We start from the raw sequence: 21,219 nt of genomic DNA, 5'->3' as shown, positions 1-21,219 counted from the left end.
ATGCAGCCATAAAAAATGATGAGTTCATGTCCTTTGTAGGGACATGGATGAAATTGGAAATCATCATTCTCAGTAAACTATCGCAAGAACAAAAAACCAGATCATGAGTTTTAAGACTCTCGCTTGTCTAAATTAAAAATACATGTTTAAGTAAAGACTAAATATGTGTGGCATCAAGCTACATTGGGTGTATTTAAAAAATTAATTGATAAAAATAGGAAATAGCCATTTTGATGTTATTCATATTTTGATTTTCATTTCTTTCTTTTTCTTAAAAACTTTTCAAAAGCAGTTTTAGGTTCACAGAAAAACTGAGTGTGAAGTACAGAGAGTTCCCATATACTCCTTATTTCAGCCCCCTATCCCAGCCTCCTTTATTATCAATATCCTGTACTAGAGTGGCACATTCATTACAGTGGATTAACTTACATCGACACATCATCATCACCCAAAGTTTATAGTTTATATTAAGGTTCATTTGTGGTATTTTACATTCTATGGGTTTTTACAAATGTATAATGACATATATCCATCATAGCATCTTACAGAATAGTTTTCATTGCTGTAAAATCTTCTGTGTTCCACCTATTTATTCCTCCCTCTCATCAAATCCATGGCAATGACTGATGCTTTTACTGTCTCCATCGTTTTGCCTTGATCGGAATGTCATATAGTGGAATTACACAGTATGTAGCTGTTTTAGATTGGCTTCTTTCACTTGGTAATATTGACTTAGGGATCTTCCATGTCGTTTCATGGTTGGATAGCTCATCTCTTTTTAATGATGAGTAATATTCCATTGTATGGATGTACCACAGTTTATTTATCCATTTACCTATTGTAGGACAGCTTGGTTGCTTCCACATTTTGGCAATTATGAATTAGAGTTGCTATAAACATCTGTGTGGTTTTAGTGTGGACATAAATTTCTGATTTTTTTTATTGGCTACAAATATCATTTTATGAAAATATATAATAAAGATATAATAAAGTTCAAGGTAAAAATTTTTAATACAACAAAGCATATATTATTTGGGTTGCAAACACAATGATGATTTAGTATAAGATGTTTTTGTGGCATATGATTGATGTGGGCACCTTTACCTTTTTCTAAATGACAACAAAATTACCCATTTAAGACAATTAAAAATTTGCCAAGAAGAATATAATAATGTTCAAGATGATCATAGTCAAGATGAAGGCCTTCATTTTTTCTTCATGGAACTTAGCAAGACTTAAAAAAAAAGAATAAAGAGAATCCATACTTAATAGTGTAGTGATGAATATGTTATTCAAATCCACCTTCATTTCAATCTGTTATGGAATTAAGACTTCTCAGGCAGCAATGCTATCACAAAATAATTTGCTGGTTACTAGAGAGCTTTCTGTGAACTTTATAAAGGTCTGATAATAGAAGAGTAATTTAGAGTAATTAGGGTTAGGAGCTAAGTGCTTCTTTAAATATAAGAATAAGCCCATTATTTAAATAAAATTTTATTTTACAGAAGTTTTTAGCTTTAAAAAGTAGCAACTCATGCTTTTAGGATCTCAGGACAATACTATAGTCAATGCTTCCACAGAGGTCTCAAAGTGTTGAGGCAGGTATTGAATTCAGTATCTACTTTAATACCAGGAAACGTCTTAGGCAGAGGTGAAGCATTTCTGGTATAGAAATTTTTCTGAACAAAGACAGGTTTGCTTTATGATTTTTTAACTTAAATCCCATTTTACCAATGGTTGCTATACAGCAATAAAACTTGAATAATTCATAAGAATAAGCTTTATCTGTAGAATTAGCGAAAGTGAGTGGGAATCTATCTTTTAGTGAGTATGTATGACCAGTTCCCACCAGTAATTAATAAAAGAGTGTTAAAAACAAGTTTAATTTGCCTAAATCAGCAGATTTAAATTCCAGTTATTGATTTATTTAGCTATTACTGTTTTGTCAAAATGGCGGAAATCCCAGATCCTAAAAGAAAACTCTATGTCCCAAATTCTTCCCTGAATAGATACCTTAGACAGGGGGTTTCTCCTCTATGTTCTGGTCAGATGTCTTCTTCTCTTAACCAAGCTGGTTCTTCTACGACTGTCATTGTCTCCAAATGGAATGAGTTAGCACCCTTTTAATAAATAAACCCTTCATTCTTGATGTCCCTCCTACTTATTTCCTATTGGGGAGAGACTGAGAAAATTTTAATATGATTACTATTGGCAAGGGTTAATACTGATTAAAAGAAAGTCAAATTGGTTTACAAAATCAGTTGCTTGTGAAAATTTGTTTGTAAAAACAGTATGTTTCACTATTACATCTTAGGAAAAAGAAACAATAATTTTATTGCTTATAACATTTTTATTATTTGTATGATTACTTCAAATGTTAAATTTCAAATTTATTGCTTCCATAGCATGAAGTATGTCAAGATTTTATTATTTAAGGTCCTTGTCTTAGCCATCCCAACAATACTTGTAGATATTTTGTAAGGAATGATTCAAAAGAATTATTTTTAATATGGAAAATAACTATTAATACAAAACATTTATTTTATGGGGAACATTTAAGAGTTTAATCTTACCTTCCAAAGTTTCTGGGATTTTTCAGTATATGCCAATAAAATACAGACATAAACATAATACACTTGATCTTTTAAGTATAATTTTGCTCATTAGCCTTGACTATTAGCTTTATAATCTTTATCCCAATATCATGGACATATGGCAACTATGACAGCACATCACATTAGGAAGATTAGGAAGAGGAGATGCTATCATCTTCTTCCAAATATTGAGCCAGAGTTAAGATAATATATAATATTGATACAGCAATTTGGTTATCATTCTGTTGACATTCAATTTTCTTTCCTTGCAAACTGAGATTAAATTATAAAAACATTCTCTCTTTACACTTTCAGATTTCTGTGATTGATAATATCATTTGAGTAATTTTCTTTCGTATTTAAAGTTGGCCTAACAATGCCTTTGATAGCTTTGATTCATCATCACTAGTAAACTGTTAAGGTCAACACTGTTTTTTCTTTATGGATTTTGGTAAGAAAAGCCTAGGCTATTTAATCCAATTAAATCGGTATTTCTACTTTAGTCACCAACAATTCATTTTTCCTTTCCTTGTTTATTTGCTTAACAAATATTTATTTATCTCCTACACTGTATTAGGCCTCACCTTGGAGAGACAGTGGTGAGCAGAATACAGTCTCTAGGGTTTATAGCCCCAGTGGGAGAGGTGGATAGGCCGGTTTCATCGAGTTTAAGGAGTATTAAGGGACAGAGGAGCTGGGAGGGCCAGGATACTGGGTGGTACGTTAGTGGATCACTTGATTTTGGAAGTTCAGGAACTATTTCCTCAAGGACATAGGTCAGGGATTCATATTTTGATTAGATGCTATGAATTATCACGGTGATCTGAGCAGCTTCAGAAAAGTCCTGGAGGATGGTGATGGTATAGCTATAAAGCAGTGTGAGAAGTCTTTGAGTCACTGGGGTGAATGGTATGATGATCTAATGAAGAGAAATGAAGTGGGAAGGTAAATAATAGGACTATGAAAATTGACTTTATCTTAAGGACAATGGATGTCCTTGGCAATGTCACTTAGGGAGTTAAGGGATAAATGAATGAACACGTATTGAATGACCAACTAATATAAGGTACTCTAATACCTTAAATACTCTAATCAGATTAAAGGTTATATGTTCTAGTGATATGGCAATGAGGGCTGGCGGATTGAATTGCTAGAGTTCAAAGCTAAGTTCTACTACTCAATATTTTCTTATCTTAGCCAAATTACTTAATCCCTCTGAGCCTGTTTCTTCATATCTGCATAAGTATAATAATAGTACTTCCCTAACAGTGTGCAATATAAAATACCTATAAAACCCTTGTTATAGAGCCTGACAGATATATCAATAAATCAATATATAGTACTTTCCATTATATTTATTGCCCAAAGTTACACAGCTAAGTAATATTGAGCTGAAACTTTGATCAAATTCTAAGTAAATATGAACCCTATACATTTTCACTACCATATGTTTGACCATTTTGGAGCTGTTTCCACATATGTAAAATGAGGATCAATAACAAATTACTTCAAGAGTTTATTGGTGACGGTTAAAAGGTTGGCATGTGTAAAAGTGCTTTATACATTTTAAAGTGCTATATAAACAATTGTTACATAATGTAACACTGGATTCCGAGTACCTGGGAACTTTCAAATATGGCTGTTTTGCAGGATTGAGAAATAAAATGTTTTTCTAAATCTCATTAGACTATGACGTCCTAGAGGTGGGAGGGAAACATGCTGTATTTACAGTGGGCAATAGACTAGTAATCGACAGAAGTAAATGACTATGGGTGACCACCTCCAGATCAGATCTCTTCTATGCCAACAACCCAATTTCTCATGTGTAACAAACCACTTCTACCTGGATGAATCCTTGCATCTGAAGTAATTTATTCAAGTCAAAGATAAGCAGCTCAACAATGTATTTTGTGAATATGTAAAAATAGTAGCTGAGGGATTAGGTACATACAATATTCCAGTTAGTTAATCCAATTGACACAAATATGGAGTAACATTATATCTGGGAGGTAAGTGTTTAACTTAAATCTTACTTTTGGCAACTTATTATTAATGTTATTTAATTAGACATAATCATATTAATATGAGCCAATATTAAGAATGTTTTCCTTGTTGCAAAGTATTTTGCTTCACATTTTATTTCACCTGCTGTATTGAAAATGATTTTATAGTAGTTTTTACATGATTAAGATAATAGACTTTTATTTTTTATTTTATGTATTTAAGGTATACAACATAATTTTTTATATACATAGTGATATCGTTACTACAATCAAGGAAATTAACACTTTCATCATTTCACAATGTTACCATTTTTGTGTGTGTCAAGAGCATCAAAAATCTCTCTTAACAGAAACCTCAAATAAATACAATATTATTAACTGTAGTTCTCATGTTGTATATTAGATCTCTAGACTTATTCATCCTACATGCAACTCTGTATCCTTTGACCTACATCTTTCCAGTGTGGCCCACCCCCAGTAACTACCATTTTGTTCTCTGTTTTTGTGAATTTGACTGATTTTTTTTTTTTTTTTAGATTCCACATGTAAGTGAAATTATTCGGTATTCTTTTTATCTATATCTGGCTTGTTTCACTTAGCTTTCTGTCCTACAAGTTCAAAGTTTTTCCATGTTGTGGCAAGTAGCAGAATCTCTTTCTTTTAAGGCTGAATAATATCCCTGTGTGTGTGTGTGTGTGTGTGTGTGTGTGTGTGTGTTTCAATGTATTTTATCCATATCCCTTGATATACACTTTGGTTGTTTCCACACTGGCTATTATGACTAATGCTGCAATGAACAAGAGAGTGCAGATATCGTTACAAAGGGTGGTTTCATTACCTTTGAGTAGATACCCAGAAAAGGGCCTTTTGGGTCATACAGTAATTCTATTTTTAATTCCTATAGGCACCTCCGTACTGTTTTTCACAGTGGCTGCACCTATCTACATTCCCACCAACAATGCACAAAGACTGCCTTTTGTCCACATCCTTGTCAACACTTATTATCCCTTGTCTTTTTGAAATAGTCATCCTAACAGGTGTGGTGTGATATCTTATTGTGGTTTTCATTTGTATTTTCTTGATAGTGATGCTGATCATCCTTTCATATACTTGTTCACCATTTTTTTGTTTTCTTTGGAGAAATATCTATTTATGTCTTTTTCTTTTCTTTTTTTCTTTCTTTCTTTTTTTTTTTTTTTTTTTTTTGAGACGGAGTCTTGCTCTTTCGTCCAGGCTGGAGTGCAATGGCGCGATCTTGACTCGCTGCAACCTCTGCCTCCCGGGTTCAAGCGATTCTCCTGCCTCAGCTTCCCGAGTAGCTGAGACTACATGCACATGCCACCACGCCTGGCTAATTTTTATATTTTTAGTAGAGACAGGGTTTCACCATGTTAGCCAGGATGGTCTCTATCTCCTCACCTTGTGATCTGCCCGCCTTGGCCTCCCAAAGTGCTGGGATTACAGGCGTGAGCCACCGCACCAGGCCTGTCTTTTGCTCATTTTAAAAATCAGATTATTTGTTTTTCTGCTATTGAGTTTTGTGAGTTCTTTATATATTTTGGATATTAACCCCTTATTAGATAAATGGTTTGCAAATATTCTCTCCCAATTTATAGGCTGTCTTTTTATTTGGTTGATTATTTTCTTTGCTGTGCAGAAGCTTTTTAGTTTGATGTAGTCCATTTACTTATTTTTTTAAAGGTTTATGCCATGTTTTATTGCAGAGATTCATAAAGATGGCATTTTTTCTTATAGGACTTTTTTTTTAATTATACTTTAAGTTTTAGGGTACATGTGCACACCGTGCAGATTAGTTACATATGTATACATGTGCCATTTTGGTGTGCTGAACCCAATAACTCGTCATTTAACATTAGGTATATCTCCAAATGCTATCCCTCCCCCCTCCCCCCACCCCACAACAGGCCCCGGTGTGTGATGTTCCCCTTCCTGTGTCCGTGTGTTCTCATTGTTCAATTCCCACCTATGAGGGAGAACATTTACTTATTTTTGATTTTGTAGCCAGAGCTTTTAGTGTGATATCCGAAACAATTTTTGCCAAGGCCAATGTCAAGGAGCTTTCTCCCTAGGTATTCTTCTAGTAATTTTAAAGTTTCAGGTCTTACATTGAGCTTTTACCCATTTTGAGTGGATTTTTGTGTATGGTGTAAGATATGGGTCCAATATCATTCTTTTTCTGTGATATCCAGTTTTCCCAGCACCATTTGTTAAAAAGACTATAATTTTGCTGTTGTGTCTTCTTTGTACCCTTGCTGAAAATTAGTTGACTGAATACATTCAGTTTTATTTATGGGTTCTTTATGCTGTTCCATTGGTCCATGTGTCAGTTTTTAAAGAGCATGGACTTTAAAGCAAGACTTTGAGTTCAAATCTCAGCTTCACGTGGGGAAAATTACTTCATTTCTCTTTCACTTATAATAACAACAAGAATAAATATATGTAGTTCATGACTACATATTAAATGAGTAAATACATATAAACAAATAGAAGATTGACTGGCAAATAGTATGTACTTTATAACTGCTTGTTGCTTATTGTTATCAGCCATTAATATTGTTTGTATTATCACAATAATTCTTATAATACCTTGTGTATAATAGGTGGTAAGATTTTAAATTAATGATATAAATTTTGCCTTTTCCACATATTTACTTTGTTTTTTAAGAAATTAATAATATCATTAATGATCATAGCAAATAAGGTCTAGCCATGCCATATTCCTTCCATGTCTCTGTTCAAGACTCTCTATTTGAGTGAGAGAGCAGGTAAAACACTGTAAATCAATCCTAATAATAGCACATCTGTTGGGAGTCACAGCAGAAGATTAGATAGGTGACCAGTAAACATTTTGTAAGGGCTGAGTGAATTTTATTTTTTCTGGCATGATGTGTTAAATATGGACCAAGCACAAAGGTGACCTGATTTTCCTTGCAATATTTGTTTAAGAAAACAACTATGTCCTATCCTTGGACCTTGAATATTCACGAGTTTTTCCAAACTGGAATACCTGAATTCCAGAAGCTTTCTGGTGTGTGATGTGTGTGTGTGTGTGTGGGTGGGTGGGTGGGTGTGGGGGTGTGTGTGTGTGTTTGAACAGATGTGAGACTGTGGAGTCCAGTGTGGGGAAATCTGGTCATGCATGTTTAGAGTCTCTGTCAACATCTATAATTTTGCAACGTATCTGTGTTTGTAGTTCTGGACATTTGTAGTTTGCCTGTGCCCAGAATTTGCTCTCAGGAATAATCTAGACTAACGTTAGCAATACATTTGGTCACTTAAATTTAATGCTAACTCTAGAGTTCCCATGGCTCTCAAGAGTCACTCTGTGGTCCCCTGGATTGGAACACTATGGCTTGGCTTTTCTCTGGTCCCAGTGTCATCCTAGAGGAGAAATTCTTAGTGTCAGACCATGAACCACTTTGAGAACCTGATGAAACTATGAGCACTGCCTTTAGGTAAATTTGTGTACTCTAACTCACACTAAATTTGTCATAGCGTTTCAAAGTTTCAGAGATCCCTGAGGTACCTTTGCAAACTCCTCTCAAAGAATCAGTTGCAATCAGTTGGCTTTATTGTGCAAGAATCAAAATATTGAATGTGGCATGAATGTAAAATGTAAGGAGAGAAGAGCTGAATCTGTGAAAATCACATTTTCTGTTGACTGAAGGCAGACAAATGGCTGAAGGAGAGTGTGAAGTAGTAATTTGGTTTCAGCAAGTCCTATAAAAAATAATGATAGTTTAGAAATTTATTCATAGTATGTTAACAGTTCTCATGATATATATTTATTTAGCTTCCACAATTTTTCTTTCATGTCTGTATCCAATAAGTCAATCAGATTACATATTTAAACTTAAATATTTAAAATAGGCATATAGTAAACTGAAAATAATAGACATTATGTAATATTTACAGAAAAAACTCTTTTACATGCTTCTTTATGTTTTGCATCAGTAAAATATGTAACTACTTATTAAATAACTTGCTTTCATGTTGTCTTTATTAATTTTCTTATTTTGTTCTCCAAAATATAATAAGCCAGCTGTTTAACCAGCTCTTGTTCTCTTTTTCTTAATGGATATCCTGTTGAACAGCAACTAAACAACACAATTTACCCATATGCTAGTCTAAGGAAATCACAGTGTATTTTCCCTGTTTTTCAGCAAGTTAGACAGCCCATATAAAAATAAATGACATAGTAATTAAACCCCACTATCTGAAATTAAACAGGTTTGGTTTGCCTCCCATTTGCAATTTCTAGCTGTGATAATTTACTTAATGTCCTCAGTCCTACTGGTTTTTATCCCTAAATTTGAGATAGGAATAATATCTGTTTCATATGGTTACTATGGGAATCAACAGACATAATTATGTACGGTTTTTATCATTTAGTGGAGACTTAGGATACTGGTATGAATTTTACTTTATCTTTTCCAATACATGACATTTTACAGATTGATCAGTTTTTAAAATCCTTTCCCATGTGCATTCTCTCTTGAGTCTTATAGCAACCAGAATTATGAGAAAATAAAAGTTCAGAGAAAGTAATGACCAGCCTATGGTCATTAGGCAAGCAGATGAAAGAAGCAACCTTTTCTGGGCTAATGGTAGTCCCATGATATCACAGACCATTGTCTGGTATTTTAGATCATAAAACATGTAGACATCTGATGGACTGAAAATATTTGTTGTAAAGAAACTCCACATTTTGCAACTTTCTCCCCAAATTATTTTACACTCTTTGGATATTTTCCACTTTATTAATCATTCTCTTTGTTTAAATTCTTCTCATAAGTTTCAAATTATTTTATATTCTGCCATTATCCATTGGTCCAAGTAATAAATAGTAACACTTTGCATCACATTGTGTTCTGAAAGTATCCTTTTAATATTTATGTGTTTTTCAAGTTAAGCATTATAATTCTTCCATGGGTTTATCTTAGAATAGGAGAAATTTGAGAGGCTTAACTTCATGAATCATTTTGGAAATGATGTCTGAAATAAAGAAATGCATGGAAGCATATCATTTCCTTTTACTCTGTTCATACTACAATGAGAGTGCAAGAGAATTGTTACAGAATTAAAATTTACTCAAACTCATATTCTATATAACTTCTTCTAAAAATTATTTTTGAAATATCATGAAAATGTTACTTGCTGTTTTACTCTACTGTCATAGTTTGTGTGTGAATAAGGATGAAATAAAACTATTACATTCTAAGAGTGTCCCAATTGTCAGAAAAAAGTTTGATAATGAAGTTGCCAATTATTTTCACTTTGTCAAATAAAATTATTTTAAATTTCTAGTTGGAACAGAATCTGGTGTATCAATGCTATGGGTTTACCAAGGTAAAACTGTAAGTACCCTGTTTTGTCTGCTTCTGTAACACACTTAGTTTATCTATTTGTACTATTTTAGAATTTATGGTTGTATTCATAAATCCATGCTTCTTGTCGGAATTACTCATTTTATATACTGTTAATTTACCTGCGTTGTGTTCTTTGATATTTCCTTGGTGTTTTTATGCCGTAGGTGGAGTAACTGCAACTGTGGTTGTCTCAGGGGTGCTCGTGATGATGGACTCTGAAAAAGCTTCTGGAGTGACTACACTGTCCACCGTTGGTTCAGTGGCAGGAGCTGGTGTAGGTTCAACAGTAGCAATGGTATTGATGGTAGGGATGATTATTTTATCCTGAATTTTCTTTGGGGGGATGGCAATAAATGATGGATGCAGGTTTGGGCGACGTACCACAGTGGGTGGGTGGCTATTTGGCAGGTATTGCCGCTGAGGAATTTGGGCATGTGGCCTAACTACAGCTGGGTTTGCATAATATGTGCGAGGCACATATGGATTATTAATTGCTATAGCTGGTCTACGTTGGTACAAATTGGTTCCATAATAAGGATAGCTATTTGGCACATAATACATTGGGACATATGGAGCTGTTTTCTGATAGAATGGTCTTTCATCATTCTCATGGCACTGCAAAAAAAATAAATTATACAGAATATTATTATTATAGACCCAAATGTGGAAATACCTTAAATCTGCATTTTTTGAAATAATATAGTATTTACCATTGAGTAAGATATTAGAAGTATGGAACCCAGCAGCAATATTATTTTATAAGATGTTGATTTGTACATTGCCTTTCCACTTTATGATTTTCAATATTATAAATATTATTTTGATAATATTAATATAATATTTGTTTCAAGAAATTAGATGAGTTTATTCATAATGTAAACCATATTGCCCAGAGATTGGCATATATGGAAAGTGATCTTATATGTTAGCTATTGTAGGTACAACACAGAGAAAAATCTCATTGAGAACTTTGACATGTTATACACAAGCACAACATGCAGACACACACAGAATGGCGCACACACACGTATGTATTCTCACCACATATTTGTAATTGGTCTCAAATTTTATTCATTTAAAAATTAGCCCAAGAGCACATTTATTTTTTCCTAAACTATAGCAGAATAGTAACATAATGTGATGTGGAGAGATTCCTGGATTTAGATTTTGGATTTTTTTTGGTTTAATTTTCTTCACAAAAGATTAGATAAAGAATTGTCTATATCTATGTGCCTCTGTTTAAAAATTTGTCAGTAGACCTTTCCATATGAATAGAAATAAATTGACAAAATTATACTACAAAGCAAACATTTCTCCTAAAACGAGACACATTTAAATGTATTCAAACATATTTGGGAAACGAAAGGGGAAGTAAATATAGATGTATGAGAAGTATTCAAAGATGGGTCAGAAAAGGATCTTCCCTTGTCTTAAAAAGTGGAAAGGGGAAATATTAAGCTTTACTTATGTTTTCATTTTTTTCCAATATGAAATGTTGAAAGAGTTTTCTCATATTGCTAAATATACATGAAAACCAAAGATACATGATTTGGGTTATATAAGAAAATAAAACTTTCAGATGAACATCAATGTTGATTCATATCACCTGTTGCTGAAATTATTTTCTTGCAAATATTATTAGATTGTTTTATGGAAATGAAATATTTAGGTTTTAGACAGAAGGCATCTATAATACAATTGACCTTTGCAGAATATATTTTGTAGTTCATGCCTGTAACAGAAGTAATTAAAATAGACTTACTGCTGGTTGTTTCTGGTTTTGAACCTCCACAGCCTGGGGAGTTCCAGAAGAAGAAATAATGAGAAATAAGTTAAAAAAGAAAAAAAAAGTACTTAAATCAGTTAAAAAAATCTTTTGTGTTAAAGACAAAATATGTTTTCTTTTTATTTTTTAAAACATTTTTCATGAGTGATCTATGAGGCCTATGGACTACTTAAGAAGCAACAGTAGTCTAACTGATTAGTAATAATAAACTGCATGTTTATATTGTCTTTAAACATCACCACCTAGAATGAAAAAGTCACTGTGGGAAAAATCTAGTCATCTGACTCCCATGCCAACAAATATGCTTAAATGAAAAATATGAATAATTTCTATTTAGTTTTTATTAAATATACATTGTTAGATTGTTAAAAATTAGAGGAGCATTGAGCCTTTTTTCCTTTCTCTGCTCTCATACTAAGATGATTCATAAGGTTTACTTAGAAGATTTAAAATATTGCCTCTTGCATAAACTTAACATATAAATAATAGTGTTTTTAATACCATCTTTCATTTGTTTTTATAGTGCTTTTCTTAGTTTTGGATTGTGACATATTTAGAGAATCAGGAGTGAGAAAACAATTTTTATGGACACATATTTATAAAACTAAAAACTCCAAAGCTTTTAGAAACTTTTGAAAGGAGGTATAATATTAAATATTTTTAAATTGACAGTTCTGTTTTAGGACATTACACATGTATTCCTTGGGTATAAAATGACTCTAGAAACCTTTTGGAAGGTGTGAGTATAGAAAATCAGAAAATTGAGAAGGTAATAAAGTTTCCTTGCTTTGAGACAAAGACTTGCTTTTCTTTAAATATATTAAATCATTAGTTTAAAATGTAAAGAAGTAATATGAGGCCGGGCACATGTCTCACCCTGTAATCCCAGCACTTTGGGAGGCAGAGGTGGGTGGATCATCTGAGGTCAGGGGTTCAAGACCAGCCTGGCCAACATGGTGAAACCCTGCCTCTACTAAAAATACAAAAATTAGCTGGGCATGGTGGCGGGCACTTGTAGTCCCAGCTACTTGGGAGGCTGAGGCAGGAAAATCGCTTAAACCTGGGAAGCAGAGGTTGCAGTAAGCCAAGATTGTGCCACTGCACTCCAACCTGGGCGACCAAGCGAGACTCTGTCTCAAAAAAAAAAAAAAAAAAGAAGTAATATGAATATTGTAGAAAGTATACTTTAAAAAATTCTGACAATCTAGATACCTTAATGCGATATCAACCTATGTTATGTATTCCTGGTATATGCTTGTCTAAAAAGTATCCTGCATTTTTATAGGAAATGTGGTGTCTCTTTTTTTTATTTATATCATAGGTTTCATAGTTACATTTTTATAGTTGATAACTAAGTGATCAATGATTATGTCATGAAATGTTTATTTCTTATCGTTATCTATTAAGATAAAATTTTAATTATAAACAGAGTGATGATTAACATCTGTATACCAGTGGCCTTTTTAATAATTTTCGTTAATACCTTAAAATGATTTTTCACAAATGAGATTTGATTCTTTGATAGAAATTATGAAATTGTGGTATAGAAAAGTTGTGTCAAATTATAATGTCACCAATAGGCTATGTGTTTATGCAGTTTAGTGCATAAGTGCTAGTAAAATATTATCTAACTATTTTTATTTTGGGGGAAGGGATAAAATAGTACATATAACATGGTATCACATTGATGTTTTAATTTGTATAAATTTGACTACTCATAAGATTGAATGGTAAAATCAATAAATTTTTTTTTTTCTGTATATTTGTTCATGTCCCTGAGGCCTGAAGCCTTTGTGAAAATGGGAAGGAATGTTTGAAAGACGAATCCGGCTCAGGTAGCTCAGGAAGAGGTTGCTATGCAGCAGGGATTTGTAGATCATTTCATGATTTAAACTTTAAGCCCTATTACTCAAAGAGACAACCTAAGTTCCAAATGTTCAGGTGACCACAAAGTATTGAGTTGTAGAACTCAAAGTTTTAAAAGGTAATTTTGACTCCAAGAATTGACCTAATAGAATTAATGGACATGTTATACACAAGCACAACATGCAGGTAATAGAATTAATTAATAGATGTTAACTTAAAAGCAACTCTAAACTTAATAATAAATAAATATTACAGAGATTCACAGAACGAGGACTAGTGTTCCTCAAAATTTTACAATCTAGGAGGAGGACATATACCATTATTTATGCTTGCCTCCTTTGTCAGTGCCTAGAATACCCAGATGAACAAGAAAATAAAAAGAGGCAATAGCCAAAACAACAATAAAAACAAGTCAAAAAATTAAAAGAAAAAAACAGAACCTTTTTCTAAGTCCAGTAGCCTTAAAACATTGCATATAATTCAAGATAATGCCTGCAAGCCTTCAAGCTGTTTATAACCATTGATCCCTGGAAAGGGGTCAGTCAATTGACATAATGGGGAAGAATATAACAAAAGTTAATGATTCAAATATTAAAGGCAGAAGTATCAAGGTCTTTGAAACTTGTGAAAAAGCTTAACCAAAGTTGACCTTTGAAGGATTTTGTTTCCATAAAGAGATTGGAGTCTGGGTGAGACAGGAACTTAATTAAAATAATTTCTGATTCCCAGACTATGATTTCTGTATTTATTCTTTCTGAATTATCCTTAATGCATTTACAATTTTAAAATGTTTTCAGTATTGTTTTTCCCCTGAATGTATTTTCTCTATAGCATGAGAATTTTAAAAGTTTCCTGTACATGATTAAGTGTGATTTCTTAATTCACAGAACTAAATGGATATCCAAAAGAACATGACTTTGATTTCATAATAGAAATAAATATTAAAAAAATTAACCTTAAAAATGTAACAACTATGTGGATATTTTGTTCTATGAAGCATAATTGTATTTAGAAGTTTGCATAGTTAAAGCCCTTAAACAAAATTTTCTTAAAGTCAGTACAATCTGGTTAGATGAAATTAACTTACCAAAAAAGGCAGGGTTAATGCCAGGGCATTGACAACTAGAAGAAAACTCTTCATTATTGCACCTAAAGATAAATTTAAAAAAAAATTAATTTAAAAGAATTTGTTACTAGAAATTTAGGAGTGACTTGAATACAATGTTTCCTTGATTAAGAAAAAAAGCCAGATTTACAGGTAGATTTAGCCGATGTGAAAAATTTATTTTAACAAAAGAATGTAAAAACTCAAACTTGGAGTAAAAATTTCTGAATTTAATTTTTGACAATATTAACGGAATTATCAAATTATCATTACTATGTCAAATGTTGAGATTATCAATGTAAATATGATACAGGCCTTGCCAATGAGTAGCATCAATTTTAGGAAGAGTGTTGAAACATATACTGAAAAACAACTGTAAGAGGGAAAAAAAGTAGAAAATGCCACAAAAGTGGTTTTCTATTAATAAAAGTTTCAGTTAAGAGAAGCAGCAGTCTTTGTGTGGAAAAAATGACATATAGATGAGGCTTGCCTATGCAGTATTTAACAGGGAGAGAAATATTTCAAGTAGAGGAGAAAGTCTTGAGAATCGCCATGAACATTTGATTGGAATCTTGTATGAGAAGGGAAATATAAGATTGGAAGGAAAGTTTAGAGCAGAAAAAGTAGACACCTTTAAGATAATGATGGGTTAAAAAGCTAGGCATGGCTTTATAAACAACAGAAAACAATTGAGTGTTTTTGGACTAGAAAGTGTATGACTATACATTTTTTGGAGGACTGAATTCTAGACCAGGCCTTATCTCTACCTCTGTAACTTTGATCAAGTGATTTCCCTTTCCTGGGCTTTACATTTTCTTACCTGTAAAACCAGGGTTTGAACTTAGAGATTTCTAAAATTCTATAATTCCATGATCAATCCAACAGAAGTATGTAGGATGGAATGGGAAGTGGAGGGTTATGAGACTGTTTTCTTTATAACATACTTCTCCAGTAATCATAACTGATATGATTAACTTGATTGTTTTAATAAGAAGTATAGAGATGACAATTACAGTGGCTTTGACTAAAATATTTAAAGAAATACATTAGCCTTATTTTTCTAAAAGAGTATATACAGTGTCATACTTGCTTATTTGATTTTTAATAAATCATCTTTTTAGACTAATAATATATGATACCCCAAACTTTTTATATTTAAGTATATATTATGTTTAGGAAGTAATTACTAACTTCATCTTGTTGCAGCTATTGTTATTGACACACTCATATAAACTTGAATCACTACAAAGTTGAACTTCGCAAAAAAGATTCACAGAATTAAAGCCTCAGATAGGGGATGGAAAGCCCACTGGACTCCATTAGCGTCTGATTCTCAGGCAATAATGATTAGGAAGGCTGTCTACTAAAGTGACTTCAAAACTGCCCATACGATGTCATCAAATTTCCATTCGATGGAACTCATTTGGAATCAATTTGAACAATCTAAGCACACTCATATTTCTTTAAGTGGGATGAAGCTCCTTATTAATGCTTCACTTGCTAGTGATCTTTTAGGATTATAGACTGAAAATGTTTTTATGATGAATCACAGACCCCTTATCAGTTCACACAGTAAAATGATATGTAAACAAAAGAAAATATTCTATAAAATGATAGTAATTTCCTTTTGGCACAAACAAAAATCACAGAGATAAGACCATACTTTGCGCATCAGCTACATTTGCATTTGCCCTCATCACTTGGTAAGAAGAAATAATTCGTGAAATGGTAGAATTATCCAGCTTTCATGAATATTTGAAAAACATGTTTTAAAAAAATAATTATTCCATAACAAATAAAATTATGACTTTTATAGAAATAAAATTTGAAAGTAATTAAGGGGTTAATTGCGATTATTATCATGAGCCCAACTTCCTGTGGAGTTAACTCTCAACATTTGTCTGTAGGAATACGTTAAACGCCTTCTTGTTCGGAATTCACAATGGCTGCTATGATTTAGTTGGTATCAGAATTTGACTGGAACCCAAAGTAAAGTTAAAAATAAATTTGAACATAACACCATCCAGAACTTAGGTTTAGGTTAGAAATTAATTTTAAAGTGATGCTAGGTCATATTCAAACTTAACAATAACTAAAAGGAAGAAAATGTGATTCTGAAATAACTATGGTGATGTCCCAACTAACTACTGTGAAAAGGATCACTTTCTCCAAGTGTTTCAGCAGCATTACCTTTCCTCGTGCCAGTCAGGTCTTGGTTGGCAGTAGGTTGAGTTGGCCTGTCAGCTGTAGAGAAGACCCAAGAAAAATAACTGAAGACCAATTAAAGGGTATTAGTACCTTGAGTCACGCTATTCTATTTCCCTCCTACTTTTTACCCAATAAGATGATGATAGCAGGGTCACCTTTGGGTCAGTCTGTGGTGGGGTGGGGGGAGTGGGGAGGGATAGCATTGGGAGATATACCTAATGCTAGATGACGAGTTAGTGGGTGCAGTGCACCAGCATGGCACATGTATACATATGTAACTAACCTGCACAATGTGCACATGTACCCTAAAACTTAAAGTATAATAAAAATAAAATAAAATAAAATAAAATAAAATAAAATAAAATAAAAAAGAAATGCAGAGAAGGATGTAGAGTCATCACTCATAAAGCTTGAAAAAAGTATTCATATCTTTTTAAATAATCTTTTTTTGTTTATAAAGAAATATAGAAGAATTTTTAAAAATATTAATTGTATTCTTATTCAACTTATCCTATCTATTTAAACTTAAAACTGCTGTTGAAATGAAAAATAGCCACAATACTTTCACATTTTAATTGTTTCTTTTAGTTTAAGAACCTGGATTTCAAGTGATACTACATCTGGCATTGACTGTGGTTGGTCTTCTTCCTTCCAGAATTACAATTATTGATTTTTAAAAATTAAATAATTGGCCATCTCACACATACCCAAGAGCACCTCCTTATAAAAGTCAAACCCATATATGAAACATTTTAATCAGTATATAGTGGGGAATCATTTGCGTTTGGGCTGCAGCACATTTTCTCCCGTATGCATTGACTACATACTTAGTGATTTATTATCCTCTTATGAATAAACTTTTTTTAAGATTTTAAATTTCAATAATATAGGTGAACCATTTTGAAAAAAAAATTATTAAATTATTGAATTGGAGATAATTGTTCTGTTTTAAGGAAAGTCATTTTGACTTAGAGCATAAATCACAAACCCACTGACATTGAGAATATTTTGGCAAAAAATAGCTAAACAAAATTTTGCTTAGATAATTCAGGAAAGCATATTTTCTTTTACTTGCTTTTCTAAAGAAATAATGTTAACTGTGACTTATTTTGGCTGTGAAGACCTGACCAGATTGAGGAACTTACAGGAATTAATGTAGGACTGCCAGAACACAAACAAGAAATAATATCAGCATTGTAGTTATGTCTATATTCCTGTCTGTTTCTTAGAAGTATTGCATGTCTTAGAAAGTTAGGAACAATATTCTAAACCCTAGAATACTTATTTGGATTACACAGAGTAAAATAGTAATATGAAATTTTCTGTTTCTCAGAATAGTTGGTTTTTGTGGTTCAAAAAGAGATGACAGAATTTAAAATGGCTAAACCAAGTTGGTAAAGTAATAACACCAGCCATTCTATCTGAACTATTTAGTCACAGTGTTTTCCTTTGATTATCAGGGTCCGTGGTTGAAAGATCATGATCCGGTCATTCCTCAAATTTTGAAGGTGTTCTATTTCACATAGTAATTTCTCAGCCATTTATTTAGAGTAATAAGAGTGATAATGATTTTCAGTTGAGTATTGAATTATTTAATTTACAAGTAGCAGAGACTCAGAACACTTCTGAAGACATTGTTTTCACAGGAAAATATATTTTAAGAACATCTGAGAGTGCTAGTAATCTTTTCTCCCACCAAGATAAAAACATGTTTACCATGGTGTCACCCATTCACTTCAAATACTAATGTAGCTTTTGTGGGGCTTTGCAAAACTGTACATTATTATTTGAGCACATACAATATTTCAGGTCCTGGACATTATTCTTTGAGCACATACCTTATTTCAGATACTGTTTCAGGTAGTAGGGATAAATTAGTAACCAAAGCAGGTAAACATCTCTGTTCTTGTGGACCTCATAGTCTAAAATTTACTTGAGTACTGGTAACATTGGATATTTCCCATATCTACTGATCTAAGGCAACCTTAGTGAAAGTGTTTTGAGTGACTGGAGTAGATGAATTAGATGGATTCTATAATGGAGCTATGCAATGCTCTTGCGTTTTCGAAAGAAAAGCAAAAGGAGGATCAGAACTCGCATGCTCTGAAATCTCCAAGGAAGCTGCGATGGTGCTGAACAAGGCCTCCAAACTGAGAGTGTTTATAACCTGGAACGAATCCACCAGTCTTTATCTACTTATGCATCCATCAACAGGGGCATGGCCTGATTCTGGAATGTCCCTGGATTGTGGGAAGAGAACCAGCAGGGCTTTTCAGTCCAGCTGCAACTTCCCTTTGTTTAGGTCCTGATAATCAGTGTATATTCATACCACCATTCACACACTGGGACTGGGTAAGAGGCTATTGTGGGTACATAAGTTCACATTTTAAGCATTGTAAACAAAAACATTTTGCAATAAGTGACATAATGATTATTGACTCATATACACTCTTTTTTTAGTAACAACTTCTTGTTATTCTGTTAATGTTTCTTACTTTTGAAATGTACTTCATGTCTGTTTTATCTTCCCTTGATGGTATTTACATCCATGTAGTTTTATTTTTTCTGTCTCATTTTATTTCTCAGCCACTTCATTAGTACCAGGCTGACCTCAACACTCTATTTTGTTCTTGAAGTACAATAATGTTTGTAACAGTAGTTGCAAAGTAAATGATGAACACAGCTTTCCATAGGATTAGTAAGGCATTAGAAAATTGGTATTTTCTAAAAGCATACAAAAAAGAAATGTGTATGCTTCAAAAGTCTTTGCTATATGTAAAAACCATGGAAAAAATAGCATAAAATGCTCTTTAAAATGGTCAACAAACTAGAGCAAAGTGGAATATCAAAATTTTACTCTCCTGTAGCCACTTCTGTTAAACAAACAATACACATACAAACTGTTTGTATTAGAAACAAAGTACTTTTGGGAGTATAGTAGACAGCCACAATCTCTGTTTGTAGAGATTATCTAAGGAGATAGTGCTTTCTCCTGAACACTTACAGAAAGACTATTTTCAGATTGTGAGGAGACATTTGATGTCATCTGGAGCCTAGAGTGAGTGTCATTGTGACTTTAGCATTAGCACACACATTAATTTATTCCTCAGTAAGTTTTAGGGTCCAAAGATTTCTGAAGCCATTAAAATATACAGATTTAAACATACAAGGGATAATCAATTTATGTAAAGTGTTATTTCTCCAACACGAACCCAAGACCCCCTATAATCCTGTCCTATGTTTACTTCATTCTTGTCATTCTTGTTACCATTCAAAATAAACAGCCAGATCAACGATGATCTCTGTGTAGCCAAATCCAGTGGTAGCTGTTAGATATTCTTCCCACTCAATGTTGTAGCAGCTCTTGGCTTGGTGATTCATTTTTCTGGCTGGTAAAACTTTTTGACTTTTCCTTCTTTTTTTTTCCCCCTCGAGTCACTTAAAGCTGCTCTTAATTTCCATTTTGGTTCCTCTTATTTTCCTCAAACTCTAAATTTAGGAGAACTTTTAAAAATTCTTCCAGCATCCACCACCACTCTATCTTTTCTCCCTCTATCTTTAATATCTTTCTAGTTAATGTACTCAATTCCTGTAACCTTAAGTATCATCAGTAGGCTATTGCCTTCACTGAACTGTAGATTCAAGTATCCAATAGCTGTTTTAAAATCTCTATTTGCACGTAAAATAGACATCTCCAAATTATCATGAACAAAACAGAATCTTCTATTTCCAAACATACCCTGTTTCACGACTAGTTCTCCACTAGTCTCTTTTCTCCTTTAGGAAACAGTACCATGATACTACTAGTGGCTCAGGGGCCATCTGGTGACTCCTATAGGTCATCTTTTCTCTCCTCCCTGCAACAACCTGTTAGAAGAATTATTAATTCTATCTTAACAATATACCCCAAATCTGACACCACTTTCTAATCTGACCTTTGTTGCTTTAGTCCCAGCCACTGGCATGTTACACTTGAACCATCCTAATATTTCTGTTTTTGGTCTCTTTACTTTCACTCTTATCGCCCTATACTCATTTCTTACACAGTTATAAAAATGTTATTTTTAACATATATCTGATATGATTATTCTTCTGATTAAATTCTCAATGGATTCCTATGCACTTACAATACATTCAAACTTTTTGCTAGGGACTGTTTCTAAATAATTTGGTCTCTCTTTATCCATCTTACCTTAACTTCTACCACTTTTTCTCTCACTGTGTGCTGGTTTCAATGACATTTCTGTTCCTAGAATGTGCCAAACTC

At 32.9% G+C, this 21,219-nt stretch overlaps 1 protein-coding gene across 3 annotated transcripts; it reads right to left on the bottom strand.

The window, feature by feature from the left end:
• Window positions 1–8,167: 8,167 nt before the first annotated feature.
• Window positions 8,168–21,219, bottom strand: CSN3 (casein kappa). Of its 3 annotated transcripts, NM_005212.3 has the most exons (6): window positions 21,145–21,219; window positions 16,935–16,988; window positions 14,727–14,788; window positions 11,750–11,782; window positions 10,107–10,602; window positions 8,168–8,338 (listed from the first exon to the last, which is right to left on the bottom strand). In NM_005212.3, exons 3-5 carry the CDS (start codon window positions 14,778–14,780, stop codon window positions 10,141–10,143), a joined length of 549 nt encoding a protein of 182 aa, NP_005203.2. In that variant the 5' UTR covers window positions 14,781–14,788; window positions 16,935–16,988; window positions 21,145–21,219; the 3' UTR covers window positions 8,168–8,338; window positions 10,107–10,140. The 3 variants fall into 3 exon arrangements, with proteins under 3 accessions (NP_005203.2, XP_016863250.1, NP_001381926.1); XM_017007761.2 differs by lacking the exon at window positions 16,935–16,988; NM_001394997.1 differs by lacking the exon at window positions 21,145–21,219 and having other exon boundaries at window positions 16,935–17,003.

Source organism: Homo sapiens, chromosome 4 (genome assembly GCF_000001405.40).
Source record: "Homo sapiens chromosome 4, GRCh38.p14 Primary Assembly".
NCBI lineage: Eukaryota > Metazoa > Chordata > Mammalia > Primates > Hominidae > Homo > Homo sapiens.
Note: the sequence above shows the minus strand (reverse complement) of the source record. Positions and strands in the feature narration are given on the sequence as shown.

Coding starts and splice junctions, on each gene's coding strand:
- CSN3 (NM_005212.3), bottom strand. CDS start 14,780: ATGAAGAGTTTTCTTCTAGTTGTCAATGCCCTGGCATTAACCCTGCCT. Junction 11,783..14,726: donor CATTAACCCTGCCTTTTTTG/GTAAGTTAATTT, acceptor GGAACTCCCCAG/GCTGTGGAGGTTCAAAACCA. Junction 10,603..11,749: donor AAAACCAGAAACAACCAGCA/GTAAGTCTATTT, acceptor TTTTTTTTGCAG/TGCCATGAGAATGATGAAAG.